The sequence below is a fragment of the Homo sapiens genome, chromosome 4 (assembly GCF_000001405.40).
Source record: "Homo sapiens chromosome 4, GRCh38.p14 Primary Assembly".
Lineage (NCBI taxonomy): Eukaryota > Metazoa > Chordata > Mammalia > Primates > Hominidae > Homo > Homo sapiens.
Window position 1 is genome coordinate 177,337,281 of NC_000004.12, and position 27,213 is coordinate 177,364,493.

Sequence of the window (27,213 nt, forward strand, 5' to 3'; positions counted from 1 at the left end):
TAATTTTTAGCTCTTTTAGCTGAATTATTTTTTACATAATTGACTCTATTAACTAAATTATCTTTTACATAAACCCAGGTTATTTTTTTACTTTGTGTAGATACTTACTAGATAGTTTTAGTAATACCCAAATCAGTAGGAATGAAGCTTTAAAAGAAGCCAGTTAATGATAGGTCTAGATTAGATTCTGCTTTTTGATACTTGGAACACGTGAGTTCAGTATGGAAATAATGAAACAGAACTTTAACAAGAGTGAGCTTTTTAAAAATCACTTAGACCTCTACGAAAGTTGTTTTTGAAAAAAAGAGAACCCAGGGTATTGTTGTTATCTGTGATGCACTGAGAATTTACTTTTTATCTCTGCATCCAGCCATCCATCCATCTAGGAAATGATCATTTACCCATAATGCCTGGGGGTTTAAAAATTAATGACATTGGCCAGGCACGGTGGTTCATGCCTGTAATCCCAGCACTTTGGGAGGCTGACGCGGGCAGATCACGAGGTCAAGAGGTGAGACCATCCTGGCCAACGTGGTGAAACCATCCTGGCCAACATGGTGAAACCCTGTCTCTACTAAAAACACAAAAATGAGGTGGGCGTAGTGGCACATGCCTGTAGTCCCAGCTACTGGAGAGGCTGAGGCAGGACAATCGCTTAAGCCCGGGAGGCGGAGGTTGCAGTGAGCAGAGATCACGCCACTGCACTGCAGTCTGGCAACAGAGCGAGACTCTGTCTCTCTCTCTCACACACACACACACACACACACACATTTCTGAAATTTAGCTCTTAGCTTCTTAAAAGCACGTGCACAATTACTGAAAAAGTACAGTTTAACTTTTCAAGATGTGACTTAATATAGTATGTAAGATTTGGAAAGTAATAAATATTTTGGATGTATGTAAGTTTTAAAGTTTAAGTGAACAATTGAATATGTATAATACTTTCAGGATGACTATGTTGATTAGATTTTCACTTCTATAGTCACTGATAAGTGATTTTCTTTGTACATGTATGTGTCTGTTTATATGCAGCTTCCCTCAGTATACACAGGGGATCAGTTGCAGTACTCCTGCCTATACCAAGTCCATACATACTGAAGTCCTGCAGTTGGCCCTAGGGACACTGCTACACAAAAAGTCAGCCCTACACACATGCAGGCTTCACATCTCACAAATACTATATTTTTCATTCATGTTTGATTGAAAAAAATCTACATGTACGTGGACCTGCTCAGTTCAAACCTGTGTCGTTGAAGGGTCAGCTGTACATATAGATATTCACACACAGGCAACAAGCATGAGGCATCAGAGGGTTTCTTTTGGGATTACCATTGACGGCACATGTGCCAAATAATAATTCTGCAAGGGTAACACTGAGATTTATGTTAGGCTGTGTCAGAAAAAAATTCTTCAGTAAGGTCTGTGTCTGAGCTCTTCCATGTGTTAATAAGTACTTTGATATTAATGCATGTATAGAAATGCATATCTTTTCTAAAGCTCGATAGTGACCTTGGTGGTCATCTACTCCTGTGCCTATTTTCCCTTCCCTTCTTTCTGTTTTATATTGTTCTTGGTAATTTTTTTTTTTGAGTCCAGCAAGACTTCTCAAGGTGTCTGATAGACAATGCTGAGACTTTGAAGATGTCTAATACAGAATAAATATTCAATAAATGCTTGAATTTACAATTAAAATGTATAAATAGGAATCATATTTTGTCAGTAATATTATCAGTTCAAAATATAACTACTGTTAATGGTACTAAATAGATCCGTAAGAAATAGAGCTCTAGAAGATATTCATATACGATTGACTCTTGAACAACACAGGAATTGGGGTGCTAACCCCTCCCATTGAAAATCTATATACAATTTTTGACTCTTCAAAAACGTAACTACTAATAGCCTACTGTTGATCAGAAGCCTTACTGATAACATAGTTCACACATATTCTGTATGTTTTATGTGTTACATATGTATTATTACAATAAAGTAAGCTTGAGAAAAGAAATTGTTATTAAGAATATGGTAAGAGCCAGGTGTGATGGTCTGCGCCTGTAATCCCAGCTACCTGGGAGGCTGAGGCGGAAGGATGGCTGAGCCCAGGAGTTTGAAGCTGCAGTGAGCTATGATGATGCTGCTGCACTCCAGCCTGGGCAATAGAGTGAGACCCTGTCTCTAAAAAAACAGAAGAATATCATAAGGATTATATTTACTACTCATTAAGTGGAAGTCGGTCATCATAAAGTTATTGCTCCTCATCATCATTACATTGAATAGATTGAGGAGGAAGAGGAGGGGTTGGTCTTGCTGTCTCAGGGATGGCAGAGGCAGAAAAAAATCTGCGTATAAGTGGACCCTCCCAGTTCAAACCCATGTTGTTCAAAGGTCAGCTGTATTCAAAATCTATTTACAGTTCTCTTTCACAGAATTGGCAAGGCGTATTATTTCTTACAGTAATGAGCAAGTCATGAAACTAGGCTCTGCTGTTTTTTCCACTTCAAGGTTTGTCAATTAACAGATGAACAGATCCATCACCTCATGAAAATGATACGTGATTTCAGCATTCTCTTTTACAGGGTAAGAGCAAAATTTTTCAACTGTGTAAAATGTAAAATGTCAGTGGTTTCCTTTTGGAGTGCACCAAAAAATGTGAAAGCTGTATATAGCCATCTAGTGGAAAGAGCATGGAGGTACATTAAGGGAGAGTGACATTATGTGGGTGTAATTAACATCTTGAAATTCTAGGTCATAGGTCAGTTCAAACTCGTCTAACTATAACCATATTCAATTATCTTTATACCAAGTTAGGAGCAGCCATGTTGGCATTTCACAGACTCTTTTTCTATTTTTGGATACATAAAATATAGAAAGTCTAGAGAGGCTGACCTACAGTAACACTTTCAGATAACCTTAGTTCCATCAGGCTTTGCCACTGACTATAGACCTTGGTTCAATCAAGCTTTGCCACTTACTACTATCTGTGTGGTTTAGATTCTTTGGATAACTTTATTTAAGTTTAGTTTCTTCATCTGTAAAATGGGATAATAATGTTTCTCTGTCTACCACAGTTTTGAGAAGGAAGGACTTGCTGACTTGTAAATGTGGAAAGTTATATACTATATGCATATATAGAATTCAATAAACACATCTTTTAAACAAAGTAATGCAAATATGTATTTTCTTTCTTCACAGTCCATTTTCTGTATCCAAAATTTTCATTTTTACTATGTTCAGAAAGTCAGGTATTGTAGTATTCTTTATTAATTGGCCTAAAATGTGAATGAACCTCTTGCTCTGCAGATCGGTCTTGAGTAACTATGGCTATTTTTAAATTGCATTTGCTTACTTCTTCCTCCAGAAAAAGATGACCATAGAAAACTGCCCATTTCCACCCAGATTAAATTGGGTCTTTCAATACTTTCCTTAAATTAATATAAATTGTGTAATTTTCAGCTCATACGTGGTGAGCCATATTTCTGGGCTTTTAAATTTTCACAGTGCTGATGGAAACTCAAGATATTTTCTTTGTAGGAGCCTTAAATATTTGTGAGTGGAATAAAACTGACCAAATATATCAAAATATCTTTTGAAGTAGAATTTATACCAAAATGGAATATATTCTCTGCTAGGATGGTATTTGAATGTTTATTTTCTTTCTTTCTTTTTTTATTAATGAATCTCTAAGGTTAAAAAGGAAAAAAAAATCCTTTTTCAGGTCAACAAAGAAAATGCTCTTATTAAATTTTGTCCCCTAGAATTAAGTTTTTTGGTTGTTGAAACTGAGTGAGCAGTTTCAGTCTTCTAAAAATAATCAGATTTCAAGCTAATCTAGCCTTTTTCTTTTAACTATATAATTATGGTTAATTTAAAAAGCCTTAAAAGTGTAAAAGACATTTTTAAATATAGAACTTTTACATGTCATTTAGATAAGAGGATAAAGCTATGCAAAGAGCAATTTTGAATACTAATGTCATTAAATAATGACTTATTTCACACAAATTTTATTTGACAAATATTACCAAATCTTGTCAATACCTTTTTCTCTGATGAAAGAAAAGATTATATTGACATATGTACAAACATATGTAAATTTTTAGCAGATGATTTTCAGAGGTGACTTTCGAGAATGTGTCTTTGGCTCCTTGGCAGCACTGTTTTGTGGATAACAGAATTTTTTGGTTTTTTTTTTTTTTAGTGCCGTAAAGCAGGACTTGCTCTCTCTAAACACTATAAGGTTTACAAGCGTCCTAATTGTGGTCAGTGCCACTGCAGAATAACTGTGTGCCGCTTTGGGGACAATAACAGAATGACATATTTCTGTCCTCACTGTCAAAAAGAAAATCCTCAACATGTTGACATATGGTAAGATATTGAATTTAAAGGGATACCATTTGCCCTAACCATCTAACTAAAAGGCTAATAATCTGAGAATATAACTGAATAACTGTCAGGCTATTCAGAAGAGAACGTGACTCAAAAGTATTTTAGTCCTTGAAAGGAAATAGTAAATAATGTCACCAAAGAACCTGAGGGAGCCAAAGATGATTTATGGACCAGTTCTGAATTTAGGTGGAAAATCTCTGGCTCAGGGAATAATATCTAGCCTTTACCTTTAACCTAGTTTGTAAAGTGAGTACCAGGAGATGTCAATAATTGGAAAAAAATGCAACTACCTTCAAAAGTCTCTGCTTCACTTAGAAATAATATTATAAAACAAAAGCAAGATCTTTTTACAGATTGTATGTCTAGTTGGTGAAATAATAGACCACTTACTAAACCCACGTGTAGTAGTTCTGCCAGTTGCTGAGTATGTCTCTTCCAATGATACATTCCAGAACTGGAGAAATAACCGCAGGATAGGTTTGAGGACTTACTGTGAGAAGTATTTGGGCTAAAACTCCATTGATCACCTGACCAGACTGGTGGTGGATCACAGTGATATTTTTGTCTCCTGGAATTAGTGTCAGTTCAGAGCCAGTGTCCAATAATCCTTGAAAAGTCTGATTATTTTCTTTTCCCCAATGTACAGTTACCTTGGTAACAGGCCATAGGACCTTTTGGGGGAAATCTAAGAGAAAGATTATGCAGTAGAAAGCAGCTGCATAGCAGTATATGTGATTATAAGATTATGTAGTATAAAGCAGCTGCATAGCAGTATATGTGATTATAAGATTATGTAGTATAAAGCAGCTGCATAGCAGTATATGTGATTATAAGCCAGTAGTACCAGTATGACATGAAGCACAAAAAATGCTGCATGGGTTCAGGGATATTAGAGGTTTCTATGTGCAGGAAGGTTGGGAAGATCTCAAAGAAAGCGTCATTTGAGTGGAGCTCCTTGTTCCACTCTTTCCCCCCTTCTCCCTACTGTACTTGACTAGACTTAAAAAAAGTATCATTTGAAATTTACCTTAAAAAATAGAATTTTGATTAAACGATAAAGCAAACAGTATTTAATTGGAAAAAAGGAGCATGGCCACAAACCTTGACTCATTAATAAACATGGCATGGTGGAGGGATGATGAGAATACTGGCCAACCCCAACAGAGGCTCCACGTTGTGGAATAATAAAAGCTAGTTTTACAGGGAGAGTGGGATCAAATGGTGGGGGTCATTAGTAGTTTGGAGAATGGTTAAGGTCTTTCCTAAATTAGCACATTAAGGACTTTTAGTTGATTGTAGCATAGTTAACATGGAAAACGAAGAGACTGAAAATGCATGTAAAGAAGCTGGTGCAGAGTAATGGGCAAGCGATGGTTACCAGCCTGGGGTCAAGACACTGGACGTGGTACCCTAGTAAAACTTTTTAAAAGTCAACAAGGACTGTGGCAGATTTGATAGGTAGGATGATGCAAAAGGTTTCAGGACCAAATAATAAAAATTTTCACATTGTGGGTCTGGGAAAATTGGGATGCAGCAGTGAAGATGCAGTATGTGTTAGATATGTGAAAGAACCCTGGAATATCCAGGAAGACATGTCTTAGGGGCTGCGATCCAGGATGAGAGAGGCTGTCGGCACAGTGCTGTTGATTGAAGCATTCCAACTTCTCAGTTCAGTAAGAATGAGAAAGGAAATGAGCCAAGGTCTGAGCTTCAGCAAATACCTATAACTACAAAGTGGGCAGGAAAGAAAAAGCAAAGGAAACAAAACCATAGGATTGGACATAGGAAGAGACTCAGGGCACCACTCGGCTGTGGGAAACCCGGGAGGTGGGAAGTGCGGTCATGTCTGTAGAGCTGGGGGCAGGGGAGGGAGCTGGTGTGCAGAGGAAGTCCCAGCTTAAGTCTTCATAAATATGTCCAGAACTGCGTGCTTTTTCTTTGTGTCCCTGCGTTTCATTTTCTGCATCACTCTTCTTGTTCTCCAATACTTTTCTCTACAGCACTCTATATCTTCTTCCACTCAGCCGCTTCACCCCGTGTTACTATCATAGACATCTGAAATACATTTAGATAATTTTATATATATATATATAATACACACTTAATGGTTTTTAAATTTTTTATGAACATTCATAATTTTTTTTTATGAACAAGAACTTTCATAGTTTTTTATGAACAGGAACTTTTTTATAATATAGGTATACATTTATTTGACCAAGTAACTAGATACTGCGTTGAACACAGTAGCTGGCAGATAGAAGATCTTCAATATATATTTGTCTACTAAATAAATGATTAATGTTCTGTATTGGTTTTCTATGAATTGATATCTTTGAGATTAAAAAATTATAAATATGTTATTTATCACATAAATAGTTGTCAATGTCAAAGGTTTTTTTGAAACTAGATTTCAAAGACCCCACAGTTCCCCAAAAGAGACCTATGAGTTAGGGAAGGCTGTGCTGAAAATGTTCTGGGCCTTGTAATCCCTCTTCCCTCCCGACCTGATTCTGTTTTCTACACTGGCAGTCAGCTTAAGACTTTGTTTGGAAAATCAACTATACACTGTGAAATAAATGTTTACATATTTTAAAAAGCTTGAAAACCAAGATGATTTGCCCTGTTCTTAGATTTTTCTGTGAATAAGTACATCCCATTTATTTTCTGGATGAGTATTTGATCCTTTTTTATGTTGATTAAATTTTCTCATTTTAATGTAAAGTCATTTCAAGTTAAGCTGAAGAAGTCTGAAAAGGCCACTACCAATTATCTAAATCCTCCTGTTTCTTCTGTCTCTGAAAGCTTACTGAACTCATGAAGTCCTCCCCCAATTTTCCAGTTTCTACTGATCATATCACACTTTTAATACTGATGCTATTTATTGTTGGTTCTTTTTTCTTTTTATTTGAGTTGGAGTCTCGGAGTCTCACTCTGATCACCCAGGCTGGAGTACAGTGGTGTGATCTCGGCTCACTGCAACTTTCGCCTCCCGGGTTCAAGTGATTCTCCTACTTCAGCCTCCCGAGTAGCTGGGATTACAGGTACCCACCACCACGCCCAGCTAATTTTTGTATTTTTAGTAGAGACGGGGTTTCACCATGTGGGCCAGGCTGGTCTCAAACTCCTGAGCTCAAGTGATCTGCCTGCCTTGGCCTCCCAAAGTGCTGGGATTACAGGTGTGAGCCACCGTGTCCGGCTTATTGTTGGTTCTTAATTATTTGCTAGCTAATATAATTTATGTATGTGAGTATTATTTCCTTTAAAGAAAACAGAGGAGGTAGTCTTTACCTTTCATTAGGGACTTTAAATTTTTTTCGTTGTTATTTACTTTATTTATTAGGGTCTGCTATACACCAGGTACTTGGAATACAAAGACAAAATAGAACACAGCCTCTCAAAGTGCTCAAGGGCTAATGTGGGAAGTAAATGGTAAATAGATAAAGCACCGTGATGGAAGTGTTGTAAAGGGACATGTTTATCCTACTGGCAATGGAAGTATGGAAGAAGAAACACTTAAGTCTACCTGGGAAGGACAAGGAAGTCTTTCTGAAAGAGGCAGTCTTTGAGCTTAGTATAGAAAGAAATAGGAATTCATCAAAGACAAGAGGTAGGAAAAGGATTTTCTGAAAGACGAAACAACACATGGGAAAGTATACAGGGAGAACATTTGGAATGCTGCACACAGGATATTTTGTTCCTTCAGGAGCACATATTCAGGTCTCTAAAAACCATCTAGTTTGGAAATGTGGCTGTAGTTGGTTGCCAGTCAATGAGAATTTAGTGCTGTCTGCAAACCAACTCTTTTTTTTTTTTATTATTATTATACTTTAAGTTTTAGGGTACATGTGCACAATGTGCAGGTTTGTTACATATGTATACATGAGATGTTACATATGTGTACGTAGAGATGGCGTTTCCCATGTTGGCCAGGATGGTCTCGATCTCTTGGCCTCGTGATCCACCCGCCTCGGCCTCCCAAAGTGCTGGGATTACAGGCATGAGCCACCACGCCTGGCTTTTTTTTTTTTTTTTTTTTTTTTTCTTGAGACAGAGTCTCAATCTATCACCCAGGCCGGAGTGCAGTGGCACGATCTCAGCTCACTACAACTTCCACTTCCTAGGTTCAAATGATTCTCCTACCTCGGCCTCCCAGGTAGCTGGAATCACAGGTGCATGCTACCACACCTGGCTAATTTTTTGTATTTTCAGTAGAGATGGGGTTTCACTATGTTGGCCAGGCTGGTCTGGAACTCCTTACCTCAGGTGATCCATCCACCTCGACCTCCCAAAGTGACAGGATTACAGGCATGAACCACCACACCAGCCAAGTTTTTTCTTAAATAGATCTCCTCCCACTGGAATATAGTTATCTACAAATATTCAATAAATATAGGCTTAATGAACAAATTTTGCCCCTACATATCTATTACAACTGCTCTCTTGAAAATCACCTATTTCCCAGAGGTCTTAAATAGGCTTCTTCAAGCCTCACCCTCTCTAATTCAGTTGAATTATTTTTAAATTTTTAAAATTTTAATCTTTTTAAAGACAGGAGTGCAGTGGAGTGATTATAGCTCACTGTGATCTCGAACTCCTGGGCTCAGGTGACCCTCCTGCCTCAGCCTCCCAAGTAGCTGGGACAACAGGCATGCACCATCATGCTTGCCTAATTTTTTATTTTTATTTTTAGAGATGGAATCTTGTTATGTTGCCCAGGCTGGTTTTGAACTCCTGGCCTCCAGCAATCCTCCTGCCTCAGCTGTCCAGAGTGTTGGAACTACAGGCATAAGCCACCGTGCCAGCCGACTCAGTTGAATTTAATTCTCTCCATCACTTCCCATCTTTGTTCCTATAGCTCTGTTTCTTCTGCCTCTCTTTCATGGGCTCCTTTTCTTTTGATCATCAAAGTTAAGGCAACAGCAAGGCTCTCTATTGGACCTTTCTGCCTCTCCTCCCTCCGTGCATTCCCAGTGATGGCGAATACTACCAGATTCAGCTATCATCTCAGACCATTTCTGGTAAAGATCTTTAGGTTATGTGTCAAACTATAGTTCTTGGGCCAGGTATGGTGGCTCACATCTGTAATCCCAGTACTTTAAAAGGCTGAGAGGGAGGTTCACGAGGTCAAGAGATTGAGACCAGCCTGGCCAATGTGGGAAACCCCATCTCTACGAAAAATACAAAAATTAGCTGGGTGTGGTGGCGTGCACCTGTAGTAGTCCCAGCTACTTGGGAGACTGAGGCAGGATAATTGCTTCAACGCGGGAGGTGGAGGTTGCAGTGAGCCGAGATCGCGCCAATGCACTTCACCCTAGGTAACAGAGCGAGACTCCGTCTCAAAAAAAAAAAAAAAGAAAAAGAAAAAACCTATCTATACATACATGTATAAGACATGAGGCGATGATAAGTGGTGATTAGTGTTCTCAAGAACATGAGCCACAGTAGCGGATAGTGACGGAGACGGCTCATTTTTGATAGGGTAGCAGATAAGTCCGTGGGGAGGACTTTGTTGAAAAGATTTGATGACTTGTAGCAATCTGAGGGTGGGGGAAATATTTCAAAGAAGGTAGCCCAGAAAAGCATAAAGCCTCTGAGTTGTTGAAGGAAGAGAAAGAAGGCATGTATGACTGAACCAAGCAGAGGGAATGAGAGACAGAGGCAGCCCCTCTGCTTGGGAGGGACCAAGGAGCATGCAGAGTCGGCTTGGCCAAGGCAAGTTTCTGAGTAGACTGGGGAGCCTTTGGAGGGTTTTGAACGGGCGTGAAATAACTGACTTAATGTTTGAAAAGATTAATCACTCTGGCGACTGTTGCCAATACTTTTGAGCTGGGAAGCCACTGGGAGAGTTTGAGCAGGAGGGCAGCATGAAGTGACTTGGGTTTTCTGAGGATGATTTGGGCTGCTGTGTGGAATAGAGACGGTCATGGAACCAGAGTGAAGCGGCAGCATCGGGGGCTCTCAACAGTAGTGCAGGTGGTAAATGCTGGTGACGGGGAAGAGAGAGAAGGTGGTGGGAAAAAAAGGTTGAATTTAGGATAATTTTGGAAGTTGAGTTAGGGTTAAGGCCAGAAATTTATATAATTTGGGGGCCCTTATTTATGAAAAACAATAAAAAATTATGACTACAACGTTAGGTCCTAATGTGAATATGTAGAATAAGAAATCACAACAAATTATATTTTTTAAACACCACAAACATCAGAAAAATGAGATATTATTAGTTCACTGCCTGACACAGCTGTGTAATTGTGTTCCTTTATGTTTTTGGCTGCAAACTCCTTGATTGCCTTTTCATATGACCACCAACAATATCATTACATCTTTTATTACGGCTAGATGAGAAAACTTTTAGCTTCACAATTGGCTGTTGATAGTGACACATCTCCAACTTCCTCTATCTTTTCTTTAAGCAGTACTTCTCTGTAAGGAAACCCTAAGAGCAGTGCCTCTCAAACTTTAGTGTGTACCAGCATTTTCTGAAGGGCTTGTGAAAACACAGATTGCCGGGCCCCACCCCTAGAGCTGGGGATTCAGTGGGTCTGAGGAGGGGCCTGAGAATCTGCATGTCTAACACGTTCCCACATGACGCCCATGCTGCTGGCCTGAGGACTTGACTTTGAGAACCCCAGCCCTTTGATCTTCCTCAGGTGCCTCAGGTTCCCCCCCTCTACCAGGTTGTTTCTGAGTTAGGGTGGGTAGTATAGGGGTAGAGTGGCCTGGCAGCCTGGATCATGGTGGCCTGTGAGCTCGGAACGATGCAGTATCTTTTGTTCAGGTCCTTCTCCTCAAGCCTCAGGGCAGAGTCCGCCTGCTCCTTGAGGTCACCAGGGCAATAGTTTCCCTGGGCACTGAACAGATGTGAGGTGATGCTGGCAGCACCCAGGCGCCAGGATTACCGCTGCCTGCAATCCTCTGAGTCCCCAGCATGTGGTCGAGTTATGGCTCCCATTCTCCATGCTGCCCACCCCAGTGTGCAGAGGACACGTCAAGCCATGGAAAGTTAAACTTCTTTTGCTTCATGTAAATTTGCATCTGCAGCAGATCCCACGGGATTTGCTGATGGACTGGAAGTGGGATGTGAGAAAAGGAAGTGTTAAGGATGACTTCTAGGTCTGGGCCTGATGAATTGAGCGATACTGATGCCATTTCCTGACATGAGATAGAATAGTAGAATTGCAGATTGGTGGCTCATGAATTTTTTTTTTTTTTTTTTTTTTTTTTTGACACGGAGTCTCGCTCTGTCACCCAGGCTGGAGTGCAGTGGCGTGATCTGGGCTCACTTCAAGCTCCGCCTCCCGGGTTCACGCCATTCTCCTGCCTCAGCCTCCCGAGTAGCTGGGACTACAGGCACCCGTCACCACACCTGGCTAATTTTTTTTTTTTTTTTTTTTTGTATTTTTAGTAGAGACGGGGTTTCACCGTGTTAGCCAGGATGGTCTCGATCTCCTGACCTTGTGATCCACACGTCTCGGCCTCCCAAAGTGCTGGGATTACAGGCGTGAGCCACCGCGCCCGGCCTCGTGGGTCATGAATTTTGTCTGTATTCATTTCCGCTGGCTGCCATCATAAATTATCATGACCTTGGTAGCTTAAAGCAACAGAAATGCATTCACTCAAACGCTGGATGCTAAAAGCTCAACATCAGTTTCATTGAACCAAAATTAAGGTGTGGGTAGGACTGTGCTCCCTCTGGAGGAACTGGGGGGAATCATATTCCTTTCCTCTTCTCGCTTCCGGTGCTGCCAGCGTTCTTTCATGTGTGGCTACATCACTGCAACCTCTGCCTTTGTGGTCTCCTTGCCTTCTCTTTGGTGTGTATCAAATCTCCCCCTCCCTCTCTCTTATAAAGACACTTGTGATTGGGTTAAGGGACCATCAGCTAATCCAAAATAATCTCTCTACGCCAAGATCCTTAATTACATCTGCAAACCCTCCTTCTTTATAAAGTAACATTTATAGATTCCTGGAATTGTGCCCTATGTCTTTGGGAGGCCATTATTCATCCTACTACAAAACATTAAGTTTGGGATTCTTCTTACACATCCAAGTGGAGATTGGGAAGAATTTATTAATGAGTGATTAAGAAATAGAGCAGTAAAGAAAGGAAAGAATGTTTCCAAAGCCTCCATATGTAACAATAAAATTCTCCTTATGATCAGGGAAACTTTTAGGACAGAAGAAAATGAAAATAGGGAAAAGTTGGAGCACATGGAAAATCTAAAAGTCATTTAAATTGTGTTTGTTTAATTATAGATAAATGCATCATGCTGCCTTTCAAAGTAAGTTAGTAGAGGACAGAGATTAGGTCAAATAAACAAATTCTGTAGAAGATCTGATATTCCATAGGGATAATAAATACTGAGTGGCATTAAAAGTCAAGGGAAGTAAAGATAAAAGAATCCTAATGAGATGTATCTTACTTTCAGATTTTCTTATTCTATTTATTATTTTACCAGACACTCCTGAATTTTAAAACTAGTGTAATTATATGTAAGGAACAAAATGTCACAGGAGACAAGGTTACCTTTGAAAGTCAAAGAACTCATGTTCTGAAATGTAAGATACATAGCCTTTACCTGCAAGAGCTTTGTTCAGTATTAATGTTTGGGATCATGAAGGGAATCCGTGATACTGCCATGGTTGCTTAACTGTGTGACATGCTCTATATCCAGACCTATAGCTAGCTGTGCATTAGAGAGTAGGACTATGTCACAGCCGTATAAAGGCATTTTGTGTAAAAATACATGGTCAATGAAGGACTTCAGATGGAGAATCATGATTTATATTTGTGGCCAAAAATCAGGGTTTTATTGTTTGCTTGCTAATCTATTAATTGGCTATCCACCATGAAACAGTCTTACATGAAGGGAAACAACACAAAGAGATATCTTTTTTCATCATTATGAATTAATGAATTTACATAGTGCTCAGCAGATACTGTAGAGAAATTCTAGAGTTTCCTGAGTTTTCTGTGCACATGAAGTAAATATAAAACTTTCACATCTTTCAATCCTCTAATTTCTGCATAGGTGTATTTTCCCATAATTTAATTGAATAAAGGTATTTTCATTTTGTTTGGGAAAAAAGTACCAATTACTTAAAACATTATTTGAGAAATACTTCCTAATGTGATATCAAATATTTTTAGTTGGTTTAAAAAAAAGCTACTCGATTATTTGACTCTAAATAACTTTTATTTGATGTTTCTCACTTTAACAACAATTAGTTGTTAAAGGGGGGTCCAGGTGAAAACATTTTACTCTGGCCAGGTGCAGTGGCTCATGCCTTAATCCCAGCGCTTTGGGAGGCTGAGGCAGGAAGATTACTTGAGGCCAGGAGTTCAAGACAGCCTAGGCAACACAGCATTCCATCTCTACTAAAAATTTAAAAATTAGCCAAGCAGACCAATGTGCACCTGTAGTCCTAGCTACTCAGGAGATTCAGGTGGGAGGATTGTTTGAGTCCAGGAGTTCGAGGCTGCAGTGAACTATAATGGTGCCACTACGCTGCAACCTGGATGACAGAGCAAGACCCCATCTCTACAAAAAAAAAAAAAAAAAAAAAAAAAAAAAAAAGACTCTAAGATACAGTACTAACTTCCAAGCAATAATAAAGAGATAGCATTGGGGTATTAATGGTTCTATAATCATTTCTAAAATATCCAGACAAGAACAAGGCAATAATAACAATGATTAATTTTAAAAATTATCTTATAGCAAGCTACCGACTAGAAATACTATAATCAGTTGGACATCTAGCAGGGTGGATCATGTTATGGACTCCGTGGCTCGGAAGTCGGAAGAGCACTGGACCTGTGTGGTGTGTACTTTAATCAATAAGCCCTCTTCTAAGGCATGTGATGCTTGCTTGACCTCAAGGCCTATTGGTAAGACTGAATTTTGATTTTGAGTTTGTTACATTTCTAAGAGGGTTAATTATACAAAGTCAGGAATATATCTTGCTCCATCTTGATATTCCATAACTAAATAAAATTTCTTTCTCAAAGGTTTAAAGGAATTGCCAGTTTTCACATGTAAACCATGCTAATATTCTGTTGAGTATTTTTTTTGAACAGGGAGGGAAAGCATGTTTGTGCTATAACAGTATGTGCCTTTGTATCTCAAAAAAATGGAGATGATCACATCTGTTCTCTACTGTTTCTAATGAATTATTCAATAAAGCTTTGTTTTATGCAGATTTCAGCAACTTTCGAGTTTGTTATTCAGTCCAAGTGTTGCATAAATTGAAAGGGAGGATTTCTGTAAGAATCTCTTTGCAGGTGGAATAGAAAAATGCTGAATTTTTTCTCTTCTTTATCCCTTCTACCCCGTGCTATTAAAATCTGTATCCAGACAATTGTACTGATTTCATTGAAACCCTTCAAAATAACTCTTTATAGCTCACGATTTCATGCATTTAGGGCATGTAAAACCTCAGAGGAAACCTGTGATTAAGAGCCATCTCATTGCAGCGGCTTCTATTGTGTTCTCAAAGTGTTATTTCTTTCTTCAATTAGAGATGAGAAAGTTCATTCCTGACTTACGCACCCCTGCATTGTGTCAACTGTCATATTGTGTTTTGTTTCCTGGGCCAGAAAGGCAGACATCACCCCTTGCACAGCTTTGCTGTGCTGCATCTCCTGTTTCCATCCCTCCCTCTTCAGTGTCCTTCAGCAGAGGCGGAGCCCATGGAAAAACACAATCTTAGGTTGCCACATTGATTTCAACATTCTGAAATGCATTTATATGTCTCATTAACTATTTTCTTGTTAATGTTTCTGAGTCAGAAAGACATCTTAATGATAATATAGAATGTATTATAGTACAGATTCCAAAATCCTAGGATACTCTGTTGTGAAACATTGTATTTAATAGATGTTAAGTCTGGCCAGTCGCGGTGGCTCACACTTGTAATCCCAGCACTGTGGGAGGCTGAGGCAGGTGGATCATGAGGTCAGGAGATCGAGACCATCCTGGCTAACATGGTGAAACCCCATCTCTACTAAAAATACAAAAAATTAGCCAGGCGTGCTGGCGGGTGCCCGTAATCCCAGCTACTCGGGAGTTTGAGGCAGGAGAATGGCGTGAACCCGGGAGGCGGAGGTTGCAGTGAGCCGAGATCGCGCCACTGCACTCCAGCCTGGGCAACAGAACAAGACTCCGTTTCAAAAAAAAAAAAAGAAGATGTTAAGTCTTTGTAATTCATCTTTACTTATTTTAAATAAGCCTTTCACTTTGTCTTGTCATTCCTAGTAGTCTAGAAACAGGTCTCTAACTGCTGACCTAAAGCTTTATGGGATATCATCTCTCAACTACCACTTTTTAATGCTTTGCCTAATATTAGCAAAACTGATAACTGAGTGACCTTTAAATGCTTAAACATCATAAAAAGCAAATATAAATCTTTGTTAAACCCATGTCTGGGTTTCTGTAAGTCGAAATTTTGCATTTTACATAATATTTCATTTCCTAGCCAGAAGATGATTAATTCTGACTTGTCTGAGCTAACTTTGTGTTATTAGTTCTATATATTAGTTCACTGTAATAAAGTGAAGTAAATTTTTTAATCAAATAAAAAGATGTTTCACATAATCAGTATGTTATATTTATGGGACTATTGCAGAATTACTTCTCTCTCCTTCCAGATTCAGTGCTCAAGAGTGAAGAAAATTCTACTGTCTTTAGCCACTTAATGAAGTACCCGTGTAATACTTTTGGAAAACCTCATACAGAAGTCAAGATCAACAGAAAAACTGCATTTGGAACTACAACTCTTGTCTTGACTGATTTTAGCAATAAATCCAGTACTTTGGAAAGAAAAACAAAGCAAAACCAGATACTAGATGAGGAGTTTCAAAACTCTCCTCCTGCTAGTGTTTGTTTGAATGATATACAGCACCCCTCCAAGAAGACAACAAACGATATAACTCAACCATCCAGCAAAGTAAACATATCACCTACAATCAGTTCAGAATCTAAATTATTTAGTCCAGCACATAAAAAACCGAAAACAGCCCAATACTCATCACCAGAGCTTAAAAGCTGCAACCCTGGATATTCTAACAGGTATGATGCTTTTAACCTTGGTCTTTAAGATAATTGCTTTTTTTTTTTTTTTTTTAAGACGAGGTCTCACTCTGTCACCTAGGCTACAGTGCAGTGGTGTGATCTCAGCTCACTGCAACCTCTGCCTCCCGCGTTCAAGCGATTCTCCTGCCTCAGCCTCCCAAGTAGCTGAGATTACAGGCACATGCCATCAGGCCCGACTAATTTTTGTATTTTCAGTAGAGACGGGGTTTCACCATGTTGGCCAGGCTGGTCTCAATCTCCTGATCTCAAGTTATCTGCCCACCTCCGCCTCTCAAGGTGCTGGGATTTACAGGCTTGAGCCACCATGCCCGGCTGGTTGCATTAAGTTTTAAGAAGACAGAAATTGTCCCTTGGTAAGGAAGTTGAATTACTTTTGGTAACATGAATCAAACCCTAAAAGACTATTATAGTAGTCTGTCTCCCTTCCCTTCTCTAGATTATAATGTTAGAGAAGGGAAGGAAATGAAAAACGTAATTTCCTACATGTATGAAAAGTTGGGTTTTTTTTTTTTCTGACAATAACCATACACATGATCAATACAGAATATTTGGAAAATATTGTAAAGTATAAAGAAAAATATTTGTCACCCATAATCATACTGCTTATCAATAACCAGTTAGCATTTTTTAATATTTCCTTCCAATGAAAGATAGTCTTCCAAAAGGGGAACTATTTTTTATAAAAGTTTAGTAAGTATACTGTGTTCTAAAAGGAGGGGTCTGAGGTGCCTGTAGTGACCTTTCTGTTAAAGAACGTGGATGGATCTCAAACAGTCATGCGAGATGGTGTTTATTTTTATTTTTATTTTTTTCTTTGAGGTGGCGTTTTGCTCTTGTCGCCCAGCTGGAGTGCAATGGCACAATCTTGCCTCACTGCAACAACATTCGGCTAATTTTTTTTGTATTTTTAGTAGAGATGGGGTTTCGCCATGTTGGCCAGGCTGGTCTCGAACTCCTGACCTCAGGTGATCTGCCCACCTCAGCCTTCCAAAGTGCTGGGATTACAGGCGTGAGCCACTACGCCTGGCGTTGTTCTTTAACTAAAAGTCCTAAAAAGCATACTTGCTACTTTGTATCTGAAATTCAAAAGTTGTAATTCTAACTAAGAAATACTACCAGAGCAGATATATTTTATAGGACTTCCAGCTACATGTCCAGGAGAACACCCTCATTTTTGTCACCTGTGATACAGAAATTTTAATACATAACGTCATCCTCTCTTTTCCTTAATGATTATCGGCAGCTCCTGAAACAATTTTCTGTTGACCCTCCTTCCCCCTTTATCTGGCCCTCCCAGTCCCTTTATCTGGAATTCCTAACTATGGCAACCCGATGTTATATCTCCAACACAGGACACATTTCTCCACCATTTTCTTTTCTCAGCTGCTTTCTTTTTTCCTTCAGAAAGCAGCTGACTTACATCCAGCATTTTTAAATAAGTGGAGAATTTATAACATATAAATGGAGGGTCGTCCTCCCATGTATGTCTTTTCTTGCCAATGGGAGACAGGCAGAGAAGGAGTTACAGTCATCCCTCGGTATCCTCAAGGGATTTGTTCCAGGACCCCCAGGATACCAAAATCTGCAGATGCTCAAGTCCCTGATATGAAATGGCATAGTCCTTGCATATAACCTATGCACACCTTTTCATATATTTAACTCATCTCTGCATTACTTCTTATAATACTGAATTCAATATAAAGGCTGTGTAAATAATTGTTATACTGTATATTTTGTGTAATTTTTTTATTGTTTCATTATTTTTTGTTTCCAAATATTTTCGATCCAAGGTTGGTTGAATTCATGGATTGGGAACCTACGGCTATGGAGGGATGTACTTTGGTTGGGACCTAGAGTAATCTCAGGTGGAATTCTGAGATTCACTGGCTTTTCCTCTTATTAGCTGTGCCTTTACTGATGGGTAGATGCCTTCTCTCAGCGGTGGGGTGAGGGACCATTTGGTGTAAACTCCTAGAGCAACCTGTAGGAATCCTTAAGCTTATTTCATAACAAATTCTGAGACAGTCTCTGCTCAATAGATGTGTTTACTCCAAGTTTCCTATTCCAGCTCTAAATTTACCATCAGTTAATCCTGATGATTTATCCTTGACTGGTTTTTTTAATGTCTTGTTCATAATCATTTATGATAACTGGTTTAACTTTTGTTCATATACTCACATTTGAAGTAAGCTAAGGGGGCTAAACTTTTAACTGACTGGATAAATCCACCACGTTTTCACTTTAACCCTAATTAGTGCCTCATGATAGAAGTTCATTAAGGAGTTAATTAAGAATGTTTGAGTTGGGAGGCTGTCCTGGAACAGAAAATCATTTCCAAACAGTCTTTTCTGTTCCGTGGCTTAAGTGGAAAGTAGAAGTGATCATCTTAAAATATTGTGGCATTTGTTGTACCTAGATGAAATATCTTGGCATATTTTTATTTCCTTAATGCTTTGTAGAAAATCTCAGACATTTTAACTAATGAATTAGGGATTTAAAAAAACATTAATGTAACCTTAAATTTAAATGATTTCTTCATAAGCCATTAGTAATAGGATCATATGATTAATCACAGTGCACAGCATTACTTAGGAATGCTGCAGCCTGTGTATGTATTGAATATAAGAACACCAGGACTGAGACTCCACAATCAATCAAGATCAACTAGCAGAATAAATGTCAAGTGATGAAATAAATTCACCCAGCAGCCCTTCTGCACCCAGCTACTTTACAAGGAATAAATTGCAAATTACTGTCATTTATTTCATTTTTCTCCTTGTCTGGCAGCTATAGTGTTCATCTTGTGGACAAGATGCCTAGCAGAAGCTCACAACATAATACTATTAAAGCAGGTGGTCCATTCATAATTTATAGCCAGTTTATTTTTTCTTTAATATTATATGATAATTACTTTGACTTTTGTTCTCTTAATTACTGTTCTCATTACCACACAATCCATGCAGTGTTGATGAGGCATATTTTCTGATTGGTCTTGAGATAGATGTGTATTCCATCCAGCTATTGGCTTATAAATTAGATGATTGAACCCATTTTTAAACAGTTAAGAATAATTACTAGAAACAGTTTAAGTTGTCGATCCAATTACTGTAAACACAGAGCAAAACACAGTGATGCAGTTTCAAAGAATGCATGTGTTTTAGGCTGAAATTTTTCCTGCGTTGATGCAAAGGCTCACATAGGAGGGTGAAATGACAATAACAAAATCATTAATATTTTCTCACATTTGCTGCCGTCAGGGATGTTGAAGATCTGTCTTTAATCACCAGTGCAAGTACTGACACCATGTCCTTGTCTCTTGGTTGCTTCTTGGAGTTTTCAGTCTCAGGATTTCAGAACCACCTGGGGCCGTCCAGAATGAGTCATTTCACTTTTGTTTGTTTTAATCCTCGAAATAATCCTGTATGACAAAATCTACATTCAGTGAGACCGATTAATCCAAAAAATTCAGACAGTATTTTTATTATAATGAATCGCCCTATCTATAAAATGAGTTAAACCAAGCTTGTCCAACCATAGGCTTGTGGGCTGGACGGCTTTGAATGCAGCCCAACACAAATTTGTGAACTTTCTTAAAACGTGAGTTTTTTGTGTGATTTTTTTTTTAAGTTCATCAGCTGTCACCAGGGTTACTGTATTTTATGTGTGGCCCAAGACAATTCTTCTTCTTCCACTGTGGCCCAGGGAAGCCAAGATTGGACACCCCTAAGTTAAACTGTGATAAATTGACCATGAAAAAATAATATTCACTTTAAAATTACAGATCTGTGCTTAGTAATGTCTTCCTTCTTGATGATAGTTTTTGTCTGGTCTCTGTTCAGTTTTATTTATTAATAAGTATTGAGAATCTATTATGCCTCGGGCATTGTTCTTGATTCTAATGACATGTACATGAGCAGACTATAGCCAGCAGGGCCAAATCCATCCCACCACCTGTTTGTGTAAAGCTTTATTTACATTTGTTTAGATATTATCTATGGCTGCTTTTTGTGATAACAAACTTAGACCGTAAGACCAGCAAGCCTAAAATACGTTATCTGAAAAGGTTTGCCAGCCCCGATCTGTTGTATTAATAGATCACTTATAACCCAGAATTAATATTCAAAATCATGGTCATGATCACGAAAATGAACAATTCTGTATGCTACATTTAAGTAAGAAATCTGCTATATTTTAGAAAGTTTTTATAAAACAAAGAGGAACTAAGATGTCCTCAGTTAATCAGAACATTTAATTATCCTGGATAATGTTGTCTATCATAAAATTAAGATTAGCTGTGCATATTTAGAGCCAGTGTGATACAGGTGGCATTAGTATCTTGGTTACGTTACTTCAGTGCTTCATAACTTAATGTGCATATGAATCACCTGGGAATCCTGCTAACATGCAGATTCTGATTCTGCAGGCAATCAGGAGTAGGGGTGGATATGTCTGTGTTTTCTAACAAGCTCCGGGTGATGCTGCTGCTTCTGGTCAGTGGACCACACTCTGAGTACCAAGAATAAGATCACACGTGGCTATGTTTTTGTTGTTGTTTTTTGTTTTTTGTTTTTTTTGAGAAGGAGTCTTGTTCTGTTGCCAGGCTGGAGTGCAATGGCGCGATCTCAGCTCACTGCAACATCTGCCTCCCGGGTTCAAGGGATTCTTCTGACTCAGCCTCCCGAGTACCTGGGATTAGAGGCACCCGCCACCACGCCCAGCTAATTTTCTATTTTTAGTCGAGACGGGGTTTCACCATGTTGGCCAGGCTGGTCTTGAACTCTCGACCTCAGGTGATCCGCCCGGCTCAGCCTCCCAAAGTGCTGGGATTACAGGCGTGAGCCACCATGCCCAGCCTGTGGCTATGTTTTTAATTTAATTTTTAAGGGAAGAAATGGAGTGGAAGGCAGAAGTGAAGGCAGAGAGATGACATTTGGGCCTCTCCTTTCTACTTTAATCCTACCTTCTACCTTGGCCCTTCTCCCCAGAAAAATTTTAATACAGAATCTAAACCTCTCCCTGGATATGTGGAACCCTGGAGCTCTCTAGGTTGAAACAAGTAGGTTAGAAAATGTTCAACCGTTATCCAAAACAGCCGCCTCTAAAATAATATATAAAACTGTTTTTGTGTCCACACAATTTTTAATAAGAATGCATCATTTCATTAATTTTGTTAATATTCTTAATCTTTTCTCCTTTAATTTTAAGAGAGCATTGTTTATGAACCACTTGCTTTAATTGTGAAATCTCTTGACTTCTCTACAACTGTCCAGATATCTGGCTTCCCTTGAAGTTAAAGTTTTGGAGGAGATTGGTGAAATGGAGTTTTGGAGGGGGTTGGTGAACTGAAAGGTTGTGGAAAAGAAAAGTCCTCTGCCTCTCAGCTTTCCTATTTCTGATCTGGTATTACCCATGACTTGAAAATACAGCCACCACCCCTCTACCCTGGAAAAGTTACCATCAAAATAGTTGCTGGTGAAGTATTTAATGGTGACGATTGATTTAGCAATGCCTGCAGCTGCTCTTATTTTACAAATGGCTATTGAAGAAACCTTCAAAAACTGCCCTCAGAATGTTTGAGTTCATCCCAGCAAACATTTTCAAAGCAGTATATTTAAGCATCCTTTATATAAATGAATTTCAGTCCATTTAATCACAAATAAGAGATTGCATTCTCTGAACATTTCAATTAGATATGATGCATTGAGGCATCATAGAAACAAGTGTGTAAAAAATGCAGTTTAGGAAGCAAGGAAAAAGGGAAATCACCTTTGATTTTTAAGTTTTTTTTTAACAATTATTTAAGAATGATATTTTTGTTCTTTAGATATTTACCGAAAAGATGAGAATGGATTAACTGTTTTATCATTAAAGAGTTAAAAAAAAATAGGAATATTAAGAGGGGGACTTCTGGTTTTAATGAATGTGAACACTTTCTCTTCAACCAGTTTATTAAAAAACTAATTCTCTTAAAGGCATTATTAAAATATGCACAACACAGAAAATTTAAATAAGCTTCTTTTCAAGAAGAAAATTCTGTTTATACAGCTACAGTACAAGGCCAGCTTCTAGCCTGTGTACACTGGGTATGAGGGCAACCTCCAAATACTCTTGATCCTAATTATGGGGGAGAATAAAGCTTCCCTGCTAGCTTTACAAAATTCACATTTTTGCTCTCTGCCAGGCAGCCTGTTTCTTGCAGGAATATGATTGCGACTATTATAGTAGCCTTGATCAAAGAAAAGCATAGAAAATTGTCTTTAAAGTGGACAGCAGAGAGAGTGATTTCTATGGCCTTGTCAGAGCCATTGATGAGAGTTTGCTACCGATGAGAAAATAATTAGAGAAGATTGTGACTAGCTACTTTGGGGCCAGTGGGAATGGAGAACCTGGACTTGAGAATATTTTAGAGGAAAAAGAAGTGGCTACAGTGTGATATTGGGTAAGAAAAGAACTGAATATCACAAATGAAAAATAAAATTTGATTTACTGGATACACAGTCCAGCTGCTTTTGTTCTTTAGAAAGTTAAATTACGTGTTTTAGGTACATAGGTAACTTTGGAAATAAATTAGAATTACCTGGGAAAACAAAGAATAAAGACAGCCTTTTGCATAATGACCTAATGTTAACGAGGTCCACTTTTTGATAGAATTTCTTGGTACAAGTGAAATTCTGACATGTGGGGGTAAAGTGGTGTGAATGGTCCCTTAGCACTCCTATGCTGTACTTATTTTGTAACCTGTCATTACAGTGAACTTCAAATTAATATGACAGATGGCCCTCGTACCTTAAATCCTGACAGCCCTCGCTGCAGTAAACACAACCGCCTCTGCATTCTCCGAGTTGTGGGGAAGGATGGGGAAAACAAGGGCAGGCAGTTTTATGCCTGTCCTCTACCTAGAGAAGCACAATGTGGATTTTTTGAAGTATGTGTAAGATTTATCTAGCTTACTAAAATGTAATTAAATGCTTTGGTTATTAATGTATAACAAATAGCAATACTTTCCTAGTTTTACCTTTTACCTTTAAATTTGAAATAGCCATATTGGCATTCAGTCTAAAGCTTGAATGTTGACTAACTTAAAATTCAGATGTTCAGCCACAAGAAATTTAATAAAATAATAGCTATTACATTGTTAGAGTATATCATATTTATAATCATAAGTCTAGAAGTGTTGCACTTAGCTTGTAAAGTTAGAAAGACACTGAGTGACTAGTAGGTACTAGTAGTACATATGTGGCTAATAATCCAAGGTAAGAATTTGTTCTTCCTAACTTCAGCGCTACATCAAAACCTTTGGTTTATGCATTGGATAAAGGTTTATAAGAAAAGCAATTTACATGCCTGGGATTTACAATAACCTTATCAAATCCTACTTAACCACACTTGACCCAAAAAAGTGATGGCACCATAGCAATTTAGCTATAGGCGATTCCTCCTGCCTTTCCAGTCTGTGGATGTATCCCTAAAGATGAACCTAAGATAGGAGATAAGAACCTCAGGTCCGTTTAGTCAGTCTCACTTCCGGTATTCCTCGGTGTGAGCATCTCATCAGGCTGAGTGTGATTCTAATGTTCAGAGATACATATTTTTTCTAGTTACTCTTCATCTGGAATAGAACTGAAAAAAGAAAATATTGATATGTTTCAGTGCTGGCGCAAAGATTTTCTGGTGGACTTTTTGAAAGATCAAATATCTGTCTTCAATGTGATACCTTCTTAAGGAATTTCCCGGGGAAAACTGGATAGTGATTTTAGACCTCAATCTCTAAACACAGTGTAACTCTACCCTACAAAATTCACAGATTTCCTCCTCAAGAAGCTTTTATAGATGTAATGGGAAAATATTATTAGCAATATTCATGGTATTGCTAAAAATATAATAGCCTTTTTCATATCTCTCTTGAGGTCAAAATTAGTAAGAATAATATAATAGAATCTGTCTAATTCAGTCTGCGTAAGTATTTGATTCTTTCTTTTCCTAAGGAAGTTTAATATTAAAATCATGACAAATCTTTGATCTTACAGGGTTTTTTTTGTTGTTGTTTGATTTTTTTAGAGACAGGGTCTCCCTATGTTGCCCAGGCTGGTTTCAAACTCTTGTGCTCAAGCTATCCTCCCACCTCAGCCTCCCAAAGTGCCGGGATTAAAGGCATGAGCCACCGCACCTCACCTGATCTTACAGGTTTAACTGAAACAGACCTATAGCAGGGATATTGGTGATTACAGCAAGATTTTGATAGTTTTCAATTATTCTTAACAAAGTGAAGAAACTTCTGTAAATATACCTTTAGATAAAGGGAAGCTCAGAATTATGGCCATTTTCTGCGTGATTCAAACAAATTTGTAAGAGAGATGCTTCTTTTAGGATATAAGCTTTTTTAAAGGCGACGACTAATTACTGGTCTATTTTACAATGTCAAATTAATGATAACAGCAGTGAAGACTATATGGCACTAATCACATGTGCCTAGGGTTAGCCTGTACATCATGATAACTTTTGTATAAACTTGTAAATTTACCTTTTTTTCCTGCAGTGGGCAGATTTGTCCTTCCCATTCTGCAACCATGGCAAGCGTTCCACCATGAAAACAGTATTGAAGATTGGACCTAACAATGGAAAGAATTTTTTTGTGTGTCCTCTTGGGAAGGAAAAACAATGCAATTTTTTCCAGTGGGCAGAAAATGGGCCAGGAATAAAAATTATTCCTGGATGCTAATATCTGTAGATTCTCTGGCATTTAGTCTCTTCAAACTGTGTATAATGTTTGGTCCTCCTCTGTTTCATAGAAAAGTCATAGAATATCTATGATACATTGAAAAGTTACTGCAATATTTGAGAACTGTTCTTTTTTTTTCTTGTGTGTGCCATCTTTCCATTGTTGGCTACGTCTTTTCTTTTGCCTTGATGAACGTTCTATGTATTTCATCGGATATACAGCATATTCCATTTAGGATGTGTATTTAATGCATTTAGTAATGACGATAAAGTGTTTTTAGTATGCTTTTAGTCTCTTGTAACTGGGGAGAAGCAGTGTTTTTTTTTTAGGAAAGGATTATGCGACACAATAAAATAAGATATTCTGTCTGTAGTGAATACATTTCTCATGTACTAACACTATTTATAATATATGATTAAAGATATTTCTTGTTTTATTAAATAATAAGAAATAAGATCTCCTTTATGAACAAGTCTATTTTTAAAATTCTGTTCAACCAACATTAAGTTCCTGTTAGAGGCTGGGGCTATGCCAAACCTTGTATGACTTCAAATTTGTGTTCTCATGTAAAGTGATGTGGATGCAGACTATAAAAGTAACATTTAAGAAAAGAAGAACTTGCGTGTAGGCGTTTAAAAGAGAGGTTGATTTATATTTTTCTAACGCCCTCTCCCCGCTGCTTGTATTTAAATTTTAGCACAGATCACTATGATTGTTCCTCCTCGATAAAAAGTCACTCTTAAGGTGTTTCTGTATGCTTGTAAAAAAAAGTCCTTTCAGAGCTGGTTGAATCTGTTTTTTTTAAAGGACAGCACAAAGGTGGCTTGAACCACTTTCCCGTTCTACCACTAATTTTTCCATGCAGAGCTATAGAAGTTAACAGCATATGAAATTACTGGCAAGAACAAAACATGTTTTATAGTTTTATAAGTATTTTGTTTTGACTCTACACTGAAAAGACAGGACCAACCTAGGATGAGTGATCTTCACCCAAATTGCTCAACAGGGCAGTGACTCTACAGAACAGACCAGGAACTGGACTGGACAGTTGACAATCTTAGCTGCACTGATGTGAAGTACATAGAGAGTACATTAGGAAGGAAACTGCAAGCTAATTGTGCAATAAAGAGGAAAAAAGGTCCACTGCAAAAAGGACTTCCAGGAAGTCTGGTCTCCAAAAATGTGCATGTTAATTACACGGAAATGTAAGTAAATGAAACTATAGGTTATATGATAAACTTACATCCTTATCCTAATAAGAAATGTACAGGATCTATATGAGGAAACTTTTTTTTTTGAGACAGGGTCTCACTCTGTCCCCCAGGCTGCAGTGCAGTAGCATGATCTTGGCTCACTGCAGCCTCAACCTGTCGGACTCAAGCGATCCCCTAGCCTCAGCCTCCCAAGTAGCTGGGAATACAGGTGTGTGCCAGCACGCCGGGCTAATTTTTGTATTTTTTGTAGAGACAGGGTTTGCCATACCGCCCAGGCTGGTTTCTTCTGGGCTCAAGAGATCCTCCCACTTTGGCCTTCCAAAGTGTTGGGATTACAGGCATGAGCCACCATGCCCGGCCTGAAGAAACTTTCATCTGAGAGTCCCAGAGAACCAGATGTATTCTGGTTCAAACAAGAACAAAAACAAGTTCCTGTTTGGAAGGAAAGATTGTTTAAAAGACAGCGTTCTTTCAGACTTAATTCTATTATGATAAAATTTCTCATAAAAAATCTCAGTGGGGGTTTCTGCCTCCTTGTGTCCTGGTGAGCTCCAGCTGAACCCAACCTCCCCACAGATAACTCTAGATTCCGGACAAAATCAAAAGCACCGCTGGAGAGTGAACTAAAGCAGGCAGATTCTTGAGGGCTGTGAAATTTAGAAGAAAGAATAGGCTGGAGGTGATTTCCCATTTTTTACAGCTTTTGTCCTGAGGGCAGAACAAAAACAGAATCAAGTAGGCCAACCAAAACTTCAGTAGAAAACCTGAAGTATTTCTCATCTACAGAATCAGCAGGCAATTTTGGCAG

At 38.4% G+C, this 27,213-nt stretch overlaps 1 protein-coding gene and 1 long non-coding RNA gene across 5 annotated transcripts in view; one reads left to right on the plus strand and one right to left on the minus strand.

Moving 5' to 3' along the window:
* The window catches only part of NEIL3 (nei like DNA glycosylase 3), a 61,395-nt gene that overhangs the window by 27,407 nt on the left and 6,775 nt on the right, over positions 1-27,213 (plus strand). Inside the window, exons 5-10 of one of the 2 annotated variants that reach the window (XM_047415894.1) lie at positions 2,503-2,577; positions 4,196-4,362; positions 14,100-14,269; positions 16,028-16,448; positions 23,223-23,397; positions 25,009-26,396. In XM_047415894.1, the coding sequence (XP_047271850.1) occupies positions 2,503-2,577; positions 4,196-4,362; positions 14,100-14,269; positions 16,028-16,448; positions 23,223-23,397; positions 25,009-25,191 (1,191 nt within the window). In that variant the 3' untranslated portion in view covers positions 25,192-26,396. Of the gene's footprint in view, positions 1-2,502; positions 2,578-4,195; positions 4,363-14,099; positions 14,270-16,027; positions 16,449-23,222; positions 23,398-25,008; positions 26,397-27,213 lie in introns of those variants that run through there. The other variant, NM_018248.3, reaches the window with a different exon arrangement.
* LOC105377558 (uncharacterized) overlaps positions 5,431-27,213 on the minus strand; it is a 38,644-nt gene continuing 16,861 nt past the window's right edge. For 2 of the 3 annotated variants that reach the window (XR_001741926.2, XR_007058383.1), the window contains exons 2-4: positions 23,970-24,092; positions 19,715-19,890; positions 5,431-6,438 (exon numbers count right to left, since the gene is read on the minus strand). This is a non-coding gene — a long non-coding RNA (uncharacterized LOC105377558). The remainder of the gene's footprint in view (positions 6,439-19,714; positions 19,891-23,969; positions 24,093-27,213) is intronic. The other variant, XR_007058384.1, reaches the window with a different exon arrangement.